The sequence below is a fragment of the Homo sapiens genome, chromosome 1 (assembly GCF_000001405.40).
Source record: "Homo sapiens chromosome 1, GRCh38.p14 Primary Assembly".
Taxonomy (NCBI): domain Eukaryota; kingdom Metazoa; phylum Chordata; class Mammalia; order Primates; family Hominidae; genus Homo; species Homo sapiens.
The window spans coordinates 32,104,906-32,119,469 of record NC_000001.11 but is presented as its reverse complement, the minus strand read 5'-3'; the positions used below and the strand labels follow the sequence as shown (position 1 = coordinate 32,119,469).

General features: G+C 46.1%; 1 protein-coding gene across 2 annotated transcripts in view, besides 5 other annotated features; it reads right to left on the bottom strand.

Moving 5' to 3' along the window:
- Window positions 1-11,414, bottom strand: part of KPNA6 (karyopherin subunit alpha 6) — a 68,508-nt gene extending 57,094 nt beyond the window's left edge. For both annotated transcript variants that reach the window (XM_024446165.2, NM_012316.5), the window contains exon 1: window positions 11,336-11,414. Coding sequence is in view for 1 of the 2 variants with exons in the window: in NM_012316.5 (NP_036448.1) it covers window positions 11,336-11,339 (4 nt within the window). In the remaining variant the exon portion in view is untranslated. The remainder of the gene's footprint in view (window positions 1-11,335) is intronic.
- Window positions 3,648-3,942: a silencer, noted in NCBI's record as "tiled region #5670; K562 Repressive DNase matched - State 14:Gen5'". NCBI's record gives its function as "represses a minimal TATA promoter and a strong SV40 promoter by Sharpr-MPRA in K562 cells {active_cell/tissue: K562}" and the evidence as "EXISTENCE:reporter gene assay evidence [ECO:0000049][PMID:27701403]".
- Window positions 10,684-11,201: an enhancer, noted in NCBI's record as "H3K27ac-H3K4me1 hESC enhancer chr1:32573870-32574387 (GRCh37/hg19 assembly coordinates)". NCBI's record gives its function as "activates a minimal SCP1, AML or CMV promoter by ChIP-STARR-seq in naive and primed H9 embryonic stem cells {active_cell/tissue: H9 hESC(naive and primed)}" and the evidence as "EXISTENCE:reporter gene assay evidence [ECO:0000049][PMID:30033119]".
- Window positions 11,159-11,588: an enhancer, noted in NCBI's record as "active region_668". NCBI's record gives its function as "activates an Ori minimal core promoter by ATAC-STARR-seq in GM12878 lymphoblastoid cells {active_cell/tissue: GM12878}" and the evidence as "EXISTENCE:reporter gene assay evidence [ECO:0000049][PMID:35858748]".
- Window positions 11,159-11,720: a biological region, named in NCBI's record as "H3K27ac hESC enhancer GRCh37_chr1:32573351-32573869".
- Window positions 11,202-11,720: an enhancer, noted in NCBI's record as "H3K27ac hESC enhancer chr1:32573351-32573869 (GRCh37/hg19 assembly coordinates)". NCBI's record gives its function as "activates a minimal SCP1, AML or CMV promoter by ChIP-STARR-seq in naive H9 embryonic stem cells {active_cell/tissue: H9 hESC(naive)}" and the evidence as "EXISTENCE:reporter gene assay evidence [ECO:0000049][PMID:30033119]".

Sequence of the window (14,564 nt, the reverse complement as noted above, 5' to 3'; positions counted from 1 at the left end):
TAATAATCATTTGCTGAAATTAACTGCTGTCTGCCTGGTCCTAAAAGTATGAGTTTCTGACAAGTATTCACAATATGTTCCTGTCCTCCACTCAAAGACAAAGACTAGTAAATTTAACTTTATATTTAATGTAGGGCCTGGCTGGGTGTGGTGGCTCAAGCCTGTAATCCCAGCACTTTGGGAGGCCGAGGCAGGCGGATAACCTGAGGTCAGGAGTTTGAGACCAGCCTGGTCAACATGGTGAAACCCCACCTCTACTAAAAATACAAAAATTAGCCAGGCGTGGTTGTGGATGCCTGTAATCCCAGCTACTCAGTAGGCTGAAGCAGGAGAATCGCTTGAACCCAGGAGGTGGAGGTTGCAGTGAGCTGAGATAGGCCACTGCACTCCAGCCAGGGTGACAAAGTGAGACTCTCTCTCAAAAAAAAAAAAAAAAATATATATATATATATATATATATATATATATATATGTATACACACACACACACACACACATATATATGGCTTGACACATAGAAAGTACTTTGTTTACTAAGTGATTAACAGCTATTAATTATCACTTATTGAGTACTTACTATGTGCTAAGCACCGAGCTAAAATGCTTTACAGGCATTACCTCATTTAATTCCTGTAACAATCCTATTATCTCTATTTTATTTCATTTTTATTTTTTAAAGACAAGGTCTTGCTCTGTCACCTAGGCTAGAGTACAATGGTGAGATCATATAACTCACTGCAACCTCAAACTCCTAGGTTCAAACGATCCTTCTGTCTCAGCTTCCCATGTAGCTGGGAGTACAGGCACATCCCACCACGCCCAACTAATTTTTTTTTTGTAGAGACAGGGGTTTTGCCATGTTGCCCAGACTGGTCTGGAACTCCTTGCCTCAACCAATCCTCCTTCCTGAGCCTCCCAAAGTGCTAGGAATACAAGTGTGAGCTACCGCACCTAACCTATACCTATTTTAAAGATAAGAAAATGAGGCTATGTAGAGTAAGTAACTGGTCAAAAAACTAATAACATGGAATAAAACAACTGTAATAGAAAAAAGGATGTGAAAAGCGCACACCACTGCACCCCAGCCTGGGAGAAAAAGCGAGACTCCATTTAAAAAAAAAAAAAGTAAGAACAAAGTGCTATAGAATTTAGGAGAGTTCATTTCCAAACTGGAAGGCATAAAGTACTTCAGAAAGGTTCATGAAGAAGGCAGTATTTAAAGTATATCTTGAAAAACAGGTGAGATGGCTGGGCACGGTGGCTCACGTCTATAATCTCAGCACTTTGGGAGGCTGAGGCGGGAGGATCACCTGAGGTTGGGAGTTCGAGACCAGCCTGACCAACATGGTGAAACCCCGTCTCTACTAAAAATACAAACAATTAGCTGGGCATGGTGGTGCATGCCTGTAATCCCAGTTACTCAGGAGGCTGAGGCAGGAGAATAGTTTGAACTGGGAGGCAGAGGTTGCGGTGAGCGGAGATTGTGCCACTGCACTCCAGCCTGGGCAACAAGAGCGAAACTCCATATCAAATTAAAAAAAAGAAAAGAAAAACAGGTGAGATTTCTATAGGAAAAGATGGGTGGGGAAGAGATTGCTTTAGCTACTTCAGGAATGCTTATGTACAAACAGCCCATATTTTGATTAGAATCATACTGAGTAAGCGTCTCTTCCATGTATTAGCTATGAATTTGCCCAAGTTACTGAAACCTCTCCATCCTTTGGTTTTCTCAACTAAAACATGAGAATCTGAGAATTAAATGAATATATAAAGTACAGGCATATCTCATTTTACTGTGATTCACCGATACTGTGTGTTTTTTTATTGTTGTTATTGTTTTTGTCTTGAGACAGGGTCTCACTATGTTGCCCAGGCTGGTCTCAAACTGCTGAGCTCAAGAGTTTCACCTGCCTTAGCCTCCCAAAGTGCTGGGATTATAGGCGTCAGCCAGCATACCCAGCCAATGTGTGTTTTTTTTAAAAAAAAAAAAACAAATTGGGCCGGGCGCAGTGGCTCACGCCTGTAATCCCAGCACTTTGGGAGGCCGAGGCGGGTGGATCACAAGGTCAGGAGTTCAAGACCAGCCTGGCCAAGATGGTAAAACCCCATCTCTACTAAAAATACAAAAAGTTAGCCGGGCGTGGTGGCAGGCGCCTGTAGTCCCAGCTACTCAGGAGGCTGACGAAGGAGAATCATTTGAACCCGGAGGGTGGAGGTTGCAGTGAGCCAAGATCGTGCCACTGCACTCCAGCCTGGGTGACAGAGTGAAACTCCGTCTCAAAAAAAAAAAACAAAAAAAAACAAATTGAAGGTTTGTGGCAATCCTATGTTAAGCAAGTCTACTGGTGCCATTTTTCCAGCAGCATGTGTTCACTTTGTGCCACATTTTGGTAATTCTCGTAATATTTCAAACTTTTGTTTTTTGTTTTATCTGTTATGGTGATCTGTGATCAGTGATATTTGATGCTAGTATTGCAACTGTTTTGGGGTGCCATGAGCCATGGTCATATAAGATGGAGAACTTAACTGATAAATACTGTGTATGATCTGACTGCTCCACCAACAAGCCATTCCACAGTCTCTCTCCCACCCTATTCCCTGAGATACAACAATATTGAAATGAGGCTAATTAATAACCCTACAATGGCCTCTATTTGTTCAAGTGAAAGGGGCAGTTGCATGTCTCCACATTAAGTCAAAAGCTAGAAATGATTAAGCTTAGTGAGGAAGGCATGTCAAAAAGCCAAGATATGGTGAAAGCTAAGCCTCTTGCGCCAGTTAGCAAAGCTGTGAATGCAAAGGAAAAGTTCTTTTTTTTTGTTGTGAAGGAGTTTCCAAGTCTGGAGTGTAATGGTGCGATCTCAGCTCACCGAAACCTCCACCTCCTGGGTTCAAGCGATTCTTCTGCCTCAGCCTCCCAAATAGCTAGAATTGCAGGCATGTGCCACCACACCCGGCTAATTTTGTATTTTTAGTAGAGACAGGGTTTCTCCATGTTAGTCAGGCTGATCTTGAACTCCTGACCTCAGGTGATCCGCCTGCCTGGGCCTCCCAAAGTGCTAGGATTACAGGCATGAGCCACTGCACCTGGCCAGGAAAAGATCTTGAAGGAAATGAAAAGTACTAGTCCAGTGAACACACAAATGTTTAAAAAAAACAACCGGCCGGGCGCTACTCAGGAGGCTGAGGCAGGAGAATGGCATGAACCCGGGAGGCGGAGCTTGCAGTGAGCCAAGATAGGGCCACTGCACTCCAGCCTCTGTCTCAAAAAAAAAAAAAAGAAAAGAAAAGAAAAAACAGCCTTATTGCCAATATGGATAAACTTTTAGTGGTTTTGACAGAAGATCAAATCAGCCACAATACTGCCTTAAACCAAAGCCTAATCCAGAGCCAGGCTCTAACGAGACTGGTTCATAAGGTTTAAGGAGCCGAGCGCAGTGGCTTATGCCTGTAATCCCAAGACTTTGGGAGGCTGAGGCAGGTGGATCACCTGAGGTCAGGAGTTCGAGACCAACTTGGCCAACATGGTGAAACCCCATCTCTACTAAAAATACAAAAATTAGCCAGATGTGGTGGCGGGCACCTGTTATCCTGGCTACCTGGGAGGCTGAGGCAGGAGAATCGCTTGAATCTGGGAGGAAGAGGTTGCAGTGAGCTGAGATCATGGCACTGCACTCCAGCCTGGGCGACAGTGAGACTCCGTCTCAAAAAGAAAGGGTTTAAGGAAAGAAGCCATCAATGTGGAGGCCAAACTCAGTGACTCATGCTTGTAATCCCAGTGGCTTTGGAGGCTGAGGAATAAGGATCACTTGAGGACAGGACTTGAAGACCAGCCTGGGCAACATGGTGACACACTGTCTCACAAAAATTTAAAATTGGCTGAGTGTGGTGGCACACACCTGTAGTCCCCAGCTACTTAGAAGGCTGACGTGGGGGGATCCCTTGAGCCCAGGAATTAGAGGTTGCAGTGTGCTATCTTGCCACTGCACCCCAGCCTGGGTGACAGACAAAAACCCTATCTTAAAAAAAAAAGTTGGGCACAGTGGCTCACGCCTTGTAATCCCAGCACTTTGGAAGGTTGAGATGGGCGGATCACGAGGTCAGGAGATCGAGACCATCCTGGCTAACATGGTGAAATCCCATCTCTACTAAAAATACAAAAAAAAATTAGCCGGGCGTGGTAGCGGGCGCCTGTGGTCCCAGCTACTCGGGAGGCTGAGGCAGGAGAATGGCGTGAACCCGGGAGGCCGAGCTTGTAGTGAGCTGAGGTCGCGCCACTGCATTCCAGCCTGGGCAACAGAGAGAAACTCCGTCTCAAAAAAAAAAGTGAAGCCGGGTGTGGTGGCTCATGCCTATAATCCCAGCACTTTGGGAGGCTGAGGTGGGCGGATCACTTGAGGTCAGGAGTTCGAGACCAGCCTGGCCAACACGGCGAAACACTGTCTCTATAAAAATACATAAATGTTCTGGGCGTGGTGGCACACACCTATAATCCCAGCTACTTAGGAGACTGAGGCACCATAATTACTTGAACCCGGGAGACAGAGGCTGCAGTGAGGCGAGATCGTGCCACTGCACTCCAGTCTGGGTGACAGAGTGAGACACTGTCTCAAAAAAGTGCAAGGTGAAGCAGCATGTGCTGATGCAGAAGCTACAGCAAGTTATCCAGAAGATCAAGCTAAGATCATTAATGAAAGTGGCTACACTAGCCAACAGATTTTCAATGTAGAAGAAACAGCTTTCCATTGGAGGAAGATGTCATCTAGGACTTTCATAGCTAGAGAGAAGTCAATGCCTGGCTTCAAAGCTTCAAATGACAGGCTGACTCTCTTGTTATGGGCTAATGCAGCTGGGGCCTTTAAGTTGAAGTCAATGCTCAATTACTATTCTGAAAATCTCAGAAGCTTAAAACGTATGCTGAATCCACTGTGTTTATGCTTTATAAATGGAATAAAGCCTGGATGACAGCACATCTGTTTACAGCTTGATTTACTGAATATATATATATATATATATATTTTTTTTTTTGAGACAGAGTTTCGTTCTTGTCGCCCAGGCTGGAGTGCTGTGGCGTGATCTCAGCTCACTGCAACCTCCACCTCCCAGGTTCAAACAATTCTCTTGCCTCAGCCTCCACAGTAGCTGGGATTATAGGTGTGCACCACCACACCAGGCTAATTTTTTGTATTTCTAGTAGAGACAAGGTTTCACCACATTGGCCAGGCTGGTCTCGAACTCCTGACCTCAAGTGGTCTGCCCGCCTCGGCCTCCCAAATTGCTGGGGTTACAGGTGTGAGCCATTGCGCCGGCCTAATGTTGTTTTCCCACCTGTTAATACAACATCCATTCTGTAGCTATACAGAATCCATCCATTCTGTATGAATTAAGGAGTGATTTCAACTTTCAGGTCTTATAAAAACATTCACGATTCATAAGAAGTCAAAATATCATAAATAAGAGTTTGGAAGAAGTTGATACCAACCCTCACGGATGACTTTAAGAGGTTCAAGACTTCAATGGAGCAAGTTACTGCAGATGGGGTGGAAACAGCAAGATAACTAGAAGTGAAAATGTGATAACTAGACAACTGAAAATATGATTGAATTGCTGCAATCTCACGATCAAACTTGAATGGATGAGCAGCTATTCTTACGGGTGGGCAAACAAATGGTTTCTTGAGATGGAATCTACTCCTTGTGAAAATGCCGTTAATCCTGTTGATAAGACAATAGGCTGGGCAAGGTGGCTCACACCTGTAATCCCAACACTTTGGGAGGCTAAGGCAGGAAGATCACTTGAGCCCAGTTCAAGACAGGCTTAGGCAACACTCTTTAAAAACAATTTAAAAAATTAGCCGGGCATGGTGGTGCATGCCTGTAGTCCCAGCTACTCGGGAGGCTGAAGTAGGAGGATTGCTTGAGCCTGGGAATTCAAGGCTGTAGTGAGCTGTTGATAGCACCACTGCATTCCAGCCTGTGTGACAGAGTGAGACCCTGTCTTAATAAATAAAAAAAACATATATACATACATACATACACACATACATGAAATGACAACAAAGGATTTTTGGGGTTTTTTTGAGACAAGATCTTGCTCTGTCGCCCAGGCTGGTGTGCAATGGCACAATCATCTCACTGCAACCTCAACCTCCCAGGTTCAAGTGATTCTCCCACTTCAGTTTCCTGAGTAGCTGGGACTACAGTCACGCGCCACCACACCCAGCTAATTTTTTAAATGTTTTTTTAGAGATGGGGTCTCACTATGTTGCCCAGGCTGGTCTGAAACTCTTGAGCTCAAGCAGTCCTCCCACCTCATCCTCTCAAAGTGCTGGCATCATAGGCGTGAGCCACCAAGACCGGCAGATTTAGAACATTACATAAACTTAGTTGATAAAGCAGTGGCAGGGTTTGAGAGTACTGACTCTAATTTTGAAAGGTCTATGGCAGAGAGAAATGTTATCAAACAGTATCACATTACAGAGAAATCTGTGGTGAAAGGAAGAATCAATTGATGTGGCAAATTTCATAGGTTGTTACTGCCACCCCAGACAATCACCACCCTGATCAGTCTCAGCAGCCATCAACATCAAGGTAAGACCCTCCACCAGCAAAGATTACAGCTCACCAAATGGCAATTTTTCACAATAAGGATTTCTTAATTAAGATATGTACTTTTGGCTGGGCATGGTGGCTCATGCATGCCTATAATCCCAGCACTTTGGGAGGCTGAGGCAGGCAGATCATGAGGTCAGGAGTTCAAGACCAGCCTGTCCAACATGGTAAAACTCCGTCTCTACTAAAAATACAAAAATTAGCTGGGTGTGGTGGTGGGCACCTGTAATCCCAGCTACTCAGGAGGCTGAGGCAGGAGAATGGTTTGAACCCAGGAAGCGGAGGTTGCAGTGAGCCGAGATCACGCCATTGCACTCCAGCCTGGGTGACAGACAGGGCCAGCCTGTCTCAAATAAATAAATAAATAAATAAAAGAGGTACTTTTACTCTACATATTATTGCACACTTAAGAGACTACAGTATAGTATAAAGATAACTTTTATATGCATTGGAAAACAGAAAAATTCATGTGACTTGCTTTATTATATTTGCTTTATTGCAGTGGTCTGGAACCAAACTTGCCTTAGCTCTGAGGTATGCCTCTACTTAGAAGAGTACCTAGCACATAGCAAGTTCTATACAAGTGTTGGGTATTATTATTATTATAGCTTTCCCATCTCTGTCTTTGTTTGTGGTTCACACATTTTGGTGCAACCTGGGTTAAAATACAAACTGGCAAAAAATAATAAAATAAAAGCTGGCAAGTCTCTTTTAAATAAGGAAGGCTTCTCCACAAGTTCCCCAGGCTTCCCTTCCCATCTAATTAGCAAGAACTGCATCATATGCCCATGCCTAAATCAATCACTGTCTAGGGAGCTAGAGTTACAATGATTGGTTTAGAGTTTATATCAAGACCCACCCCTTGGGGTAAGGAAGGGTGGCCAGATTCCCAGTTAGCACAGTAGTAGTAATGGTGAAAAGACAAGTAGTGTCTGCCAAGACTCATGAGGTTGTAGTCTCTGCTAGAGGGTCAGAATAAAGCAATCTCCAGAGCTACAAATATCACCCCTACAGGGCACCTAGTGGCAGGGAAATCACTGCAAAGGTCTGTTAAGGGTAATGAAGTTTGGCATAGTAGAAATAGTGTAGGATATACGACTGAGCTAGTAGGATACAGACTGAGAGTACACTTAAGAGGCAGTGAAATACGGCAGGTTCCGTACTTGTGGGCATGTGAAGGCAGGCTGTGTTAGTGTCTCCAGTGCCCAAAGGATCCAGAATACCAGCCTTGGACTAGTCACCTAATCTTCTCAAAGCCTCAGTTTATAAGTGTAAATGGAGATAACCCAAGATACCTTAGATTAGATGTTAGAATTAAATGAATGCATTAGTTTGGTCTACAACAAACAAAAAGCTGACATTCATAAAGACAAGCTACGATGAGGGAGAGGTACCTGAGATGGAGCTGGAAAGAGGAAGTTACCTGACTCTAGGCTAAAAACCCCCTTCAAGACCTTGGTCAGGGTTTGTTGCTCCACTGAAGAACTTTCATGTTGAACTGTACCAGAATAGGACTAACTTTATTTCTTAACTTCTTAAGTCTTATAGATTTATGTGCTGCAAAATGGGTAAGAATCTTACTCCTGGCTTTGTGGCTTACTGGCTGTGTTATCTTCTCCGAGACAGTTTCCCAATCTATAAAACTGAGTAAATCTCTACTTATTTCACTGAGCTTATTAAACATTAGTTCCTTCCCTTTGAGGCAACAGTGTTTCTGAAACTGAAGACCAATATAAAATTTATAACAAAGTTTATAACATAAAACCCCCTAAATTTTTTTCACTGAAAGATGAAGCTCCAGCTACTAAGAAAGGCCTATCAGTCTTATTACTCAATAGGGAAACCTGGAAACCAGAGTGCTTAAGGGAAAGGAACATTATTGAAAGTGGAAAAGAATCTGTTCTGATATTCATGGAGCCCTTTAGGCTCCAAACACTGTTATCTGTTTTTTGTTTGTTTATTTGTTTGTTTTTGAGAGGGAGTCTAGCTTGTTGCCCAGGCTGGCATGATCTCGGCTCACTGCAACCTCCGCCTCCCGGGTTCAAGCAATTCTCCCTTCTCAGCCTCCCAAGTAGCTGGGATTACAGGAGCACGCCACCATACCCAGCTAATTTTTGTATTTTTAGTAGAGACAGGGTTTCACCTTATTGGTCAGGTTGGTGTCGTCCTCCTGACCTCAGGTGATCCACCCGCCTCGGCCTATGGGATTATAGGCCTGAGCCACCTTGCCCAGCCCAAATGCTGTTATCTTATTTAGTCCCCAAATATCTTGATAACACAGCCCCACCCCTTCTTTCTAGAGGTCAGAAAAGGAAGGCTCAGAAAGGAAGAAAAACATTATTGTGGACTGTGCTAGATGCTTTCCATATGTGTTGTTGTGTCTGACATTTAAGTGACTTCCAATACCAGATCTGATTCTACAGTCATTGCCTTGAAGCTCAAGTGAATAATTTCTGCTTCCTTAGAATCTCAGATCTTTAAAAATCCAATTCCAGGCCAGGCGCGGTGGCTCATGCCTGTAATCCCAGCACTTTGGGAGGCCGAGACGGGCAGATCACCAGAGGTCAGGAGTTCGAGACCAGCTTGGCCAACATGGTGAAACCCTGTCTCTACTAAAAATACAAAAATTAGCTAGGTGTGGTGGTGGATGCCTGTAATCCCAGCTACTCAGGAGGCTGAGGCAGGAAAATTGCTTTAACCCGGGAGGCAGAGGTTGCAGTGAGCCGAGATCTGGCCACTGCACTCCAGCATGGGAGACAAGAGTGAAATTTCTTCTCAGAAAAAAAAAAAAAAAAAAAAAAATTCAATTCCAGATTCTCATTTTGCTTGCCCCACACACAATAATTAGAGTTATCAATTCACTCTGGACTCCTTCAGTTTCGTTCAGAAAAAGGATTTCAAAGTGGCCGGGCATGGTGGCTCACGCTTGTAATCTCAGCACTTTGGAAGGCGAGGCGGGAGGATCACGAGGTCAGGAGATCAAGACCATCCTGGCTAACACGGTGAAACCCCGTCTCCACTAAAAATACAAAAAAATACAAAAAAAATTATCCAGGCGTGGTGGCGGGCACCTGTAGTCCCAACTACTCGGGAGGCTGAGGCAGGAGAATGGCGTGAACCCGGGAAGGTGGTAGTTGCAGTGAGCCGAGATCGCGCCAATGCACTCCAGCCTGGGCAACAGAGCCAGACTCCGTCTCAAAAAAAAAAAAAAGATTTCATAATGGGCCCACATGCAAAAACAAAAAGCAAAACAAAACAAAATAAACAAACAGAAAACCCAAACACATTTACAACTTTGCCTAGGGTTAAAAGCTTTTTTCCCCTTTTCTCCCTGCCCAACCACTAGAGGGCCAGGTCATTTAAAAAAAAAAACAAAACAAAAAAACAGGCTGGACGCAGTGGCTCACACCTGTAATCCCAGCACTTTGGGAGGCCGAGGCAGGCGAATCACTTGAGGTCAGGGGTTCGAGACCAGCCTGGCCAACATGACGAAACCCTGTCTCTACCAAAAACACACAAAAATCAGCCGGGCGTGGTGGTGGGTGCCTGTAATCCCAGCTACTCGGGAGGCTGAGGCAGGAGAATCGCTTGAACCCGGGAGGCAGGAGGTTGCAGTGAGCCGAGATCGCGTCACTGCACTCCAGCCTGGGCGACAGAGCAAGACTCTATCAACAACAACAACAAACAGCAGTTACAAACTAGGCTTGGGAGTGTTCACCCTGGCTTAGCCACTGCATGACCTTGGGTAAGTTACTTTACCTCTCTAAAGCTCAGCTTCCACATCTGTAAAATGGCAATGGTAGCATCTATTTCCTTAGGTTGTACAAATTAAGTAAAACAAGACATGTAAAGCAATCAGAACAATGCCCGTACGTAGAAAGAGCTTAGCAAATTTCACAATTTTTACTGCTTTAGAGGAATTACCACTGTTGGTTCTGTCTCTAAATCCAAAGACTTCGCCATGGTATTCTCTCTGAACAGAGGCCTTGCCAGCCGGAGTCCCCTCAGAAAGATCAACAGGTCGCTCCTTTTCTCCTTACCAGGGCCAGCCCAGAAACCTAAAGTCCTCAACCTAAAGATGGCCAAGAGGACTTGGCCTTTGGTGTTCTACCATCACAAGCGATGCCACTCTGAGCCCAACCGAACCACACTATTTCCGCCTTGATTCCGTTCTCCCGGCCTTCAGCGGCGCAAGCTGCCCTCGGCCTGGCTGCCCATGCTTACCGGCCTAGTGCTGGCTCGCCTGACGTCCCCTCACTAGAGGACTCCACCTCGCTACGTAGGTAGGACTTCCCTGAGTTCAGGGGAGCCACTGAATCTAGTCAAGACACGCGTTGGCCAAACACAACCCAGGAGAAAGCTACCTTAGCGCCGCCCAGGCCTGCCGCCGGGAGCCCGTCCCCCAGCCCCAGTCTGGGCGCAGGACAGAGAGTAGGCCCCTTTCTACCTCCCAGGAACACGTGGGCTCCTGCCCGAGGCCACCATGTGGGGGGCTCCAGGCGTGCCAAGGTGTCCCCGAAACCAGCACCAAAGGACTGCTTCCAGCACGGGCCCTAGCTCGGCCCAAAACTGGCAAGAGGGGCACTCCCGGCCTGACTTTTCCCCTCAGACCTAGCTAGAGGGGATGCAGACATCTTCCGCAGACCGGAGACAGGCTCTCGCCAAATCCCAGGCCCCGACACTCCCTGAGCCCAAGAACCCTACTGCGTGGTTTCCTCACTCACCCATCGCGGGTCCGCTCGCTCACTCTTGGCGGCGGAGGCAACGGCGGCAGCTTCAGCGGCAGCTTTCAGTAGACAATATGGCGGATCTGTAGGACGGCAGCCCGAAAGGGACAAACCAGTTAACTCCAGGACGAAACGCTTTATTGGCCCAATCGCCTATCATTACACCGAAAGTGCGCACTTAAAGAGACCGCAGCTACTAAAGGTGGGGAGTGGAAATGAAATAGGAAAGGAGTGGTTGGGAGGAGACTGGAAGGGATACCTAAGAAAGTTAAGTGTGTCTAGGAGTTCCCAGCTGTTTCTGCTACTATTTCTTTTTTATAGTGAGATTTCTTTACCCGGAACTTTTTCTCCCAGAAGCTTATCCCTCCTTTTTTTTTTTTTTTTTTTTTTTTTTTTTTTGAGACGCAGTCTCGCTCTTGTCCCCCCAGGCTGGAGTGCGATGGCGCGATCTCGGCTCACTGCACACTCTGCCTCCCGAGTTCAAGCGATTCTCCTGCCTCGGCCCCCCGAGTAGCTGGGATTACAGGCGCCTGCCACCACGCCTGGCTAATTTTTGTATTTTTACTAGAGACGGTGTTTCAACCATGTTGGCTAGGCTGGTCTTGAACTCCTTACCTCAGGTGATCCGCCCGCCCCCAAAGTGCTGGGATTACAGGCTTGAGCCACCGCTCCGGGCCAGTTTATCCCTTCTTCTAATAGTTGAAACCAATCGGCTGGGCGCTGTGGCTCACGCCTGTAATCCCAGCACTTTGGGTAGGCCGAGGCGGGCGGATCACCTGAGATCAGGAGTTCGAGACCAGCCTGCCCATGGTCTCTACTAAAAATACAAAAATTAGCTGGGTGTGGTGGCGCATGCCTGTAATCTACTTGGGAGGCTGAGGCAGGAGAATTGCTTTAACCCGGGAGGCAGAGGTTGCAGTGAGCCGAGATTGTGCCACTGCATTCCAGCCTGGGAGACAAGAGCAAAACTCCGTCTCTAAAAACAAAAACAGCAATCATAGACCTTGGGCTGAATATGAACAACGAATCATCTAGAGAGGGGAAGTGCCTTGCTCAATGAGGCTATGGAGAGAAGGAAACAAAGAAGTAAGACTAAACTCAGGTTTTCTGATTAGGCCTACGTAGGTAGCCCTAGTTGAGGTTGCAATCTTATTGGGAGATGAGAAATAGAAAAATAGGGCTGGGTGTGGTGGTTCACGCTTGTCTATAATCCTAACACTTTGGGAAGCTGAGGCCAGAGAATCACTTGAGGCCAGGAGCTCAAGACCAGACTGGGCAACACAGTGAGACCCCATCTCCACAAAAAATAAATTAAAAGAAAAAAATTAGCCAGGCATGGTAATGAGCACTTGTACTTGGGCGGCTGAGGCGAGAGGATCACTTGAGTCCGGGAGGTCAAGGCTGCAGTGCCATGACTGTGTCACTATACTCCAGGTTGGGTGATAGAGTGAGACCCTGTCTCTAAAAAAAAAAAAAAGAGAGAGAGAGAGAGAGAAAGAAATGGGCTGGACATGGTGGCTCATTCCTGTAATCCCAGCATTTTAGGAGGCTGAGGCGGCAGATTGCTTGAGCCCAAGAGTTCGAGACCAGCCTGGGCAACATAGCAAGATCCCCCGTCTCTAAAAAAAAAAAAGAAAAACAATGAGACCCATGCAGTATAGTTAACAGAGTGATTTCATAATCATTTCATTTATCCTCACAGCAAGCTCCTTGAAGGCAGGGGTGGGTTCTATATTGTTTACCACCGTATCTCCAGCACCTAGCACAGAATCTGGCACATTGTGTGTGCTCCATAAATAACTATTGAATGAATAAACAAAGGAATGAACAAAAAATTGAGTTACACAGAGCAAGGGACATGATCTCCCCTTTTAGAGATGAGGAAATTGAGGCTTTTATTGTTCATATGCCTTTTCAATCACGGGACGTATGGCTAGTACATATCAGGCCTTTCTTTTTCCATGACATGGCAGCCCTCCTGTCCCCCACCTCGACACACAGAGCCAGGCTATATCTTCAAGACACAGAGGGATCTATCTTCTGGAAGCAGAACAAGGGCCTGTCACAACAAACTGCCAACTTTAGTTGTGCGCCTGGCCCATTTTCTTGAGGCAAAGAAATCAAAAGGAAAACTCTAGGATGAAGGTCAGGAAGGGGCGCACTTTATTTCCCTTCCTACTGCCCCTGCTTAAGGTGAGACCTCATCACTTTGCCCTGTTCTGTTTTGCCTGCCTCCTCTCTGGCCTCCTGCCTCCAGACTCTCCGGCTCCCACCCACTATCTCCTGAAAAGCAGAGACCTATAATCTCAGCTACTGGGAAGGCTGAGGTGGGAGAATTGCTTGAGCCCAGGAGTTCAAGACCAGCCTGGGCAACACAGAGAAACCTGTCTCATTAAAAAAAAAAAAAAAAAAGAAAAAAAAAAAGAAAAAAAAAAGCAGAAACCTTACAGTGTAACTCTTCTGCTTAGCAACTTCCTACTGCCTGCCCTTAGGTAATGCCCAGACATTTTAATCTGGCACAGACTGGTCCTTACCTGCTTCTTGGGACACTCCCCACCAGGCAATGCAGGCTCCAACCATATTTGGAGAACCACTTTTCTTCAAATATGCGCCTGTCTTCTCATGTGCCTTTGCATATGCTGTTCCCTCTGCTTAGAATGCAGTGCCCTCCTTTCCCCACTTAACCATGAGAACTACTCACTTTTTTTTTTTTTTTTTGAGACAGAGTTTTGCTCTTGTTGTCCAGGCTGGAGTGCAATGGCATGATCTTGGCTCATTGCAAACTTCACCTCCCAGGTTCAAGCAACTCTCCTGCCTTAGCCTCCTGACTAGCTGGGATTACAGGCATGCGCCACCACACCCGGCTAATTTTTTGTTGTTGGGTTTTTTTTGGTGTTTTGGTTTTTTTTTTTTTTTTGAGACAGAGTCTAGCTCTGTCGCCCAGGCTGGAGTAAAGGGGCGTGATCTCGGCTCACTGCAACCTCTGCCTCCTGGGTTCAAGCGATTCTCCTGCCTCAGTCTCCCGAGTAGCTGGGATTACAGGTGCCTGCCACCACACCCAGCTAATTTTTGTATTTTTAGTACAGACAGGGTTTCACTGTGTTGGCCAAGCTGGTCTCGAACTCCTGACCTCGTGATCCACCCGCCTCGGCCTCCCAAAGTGCTGGGATTACAAGCATGAGCCATGGCACCCAGCCTAATTTTTGTATTTTTAGTAGAGACGGGA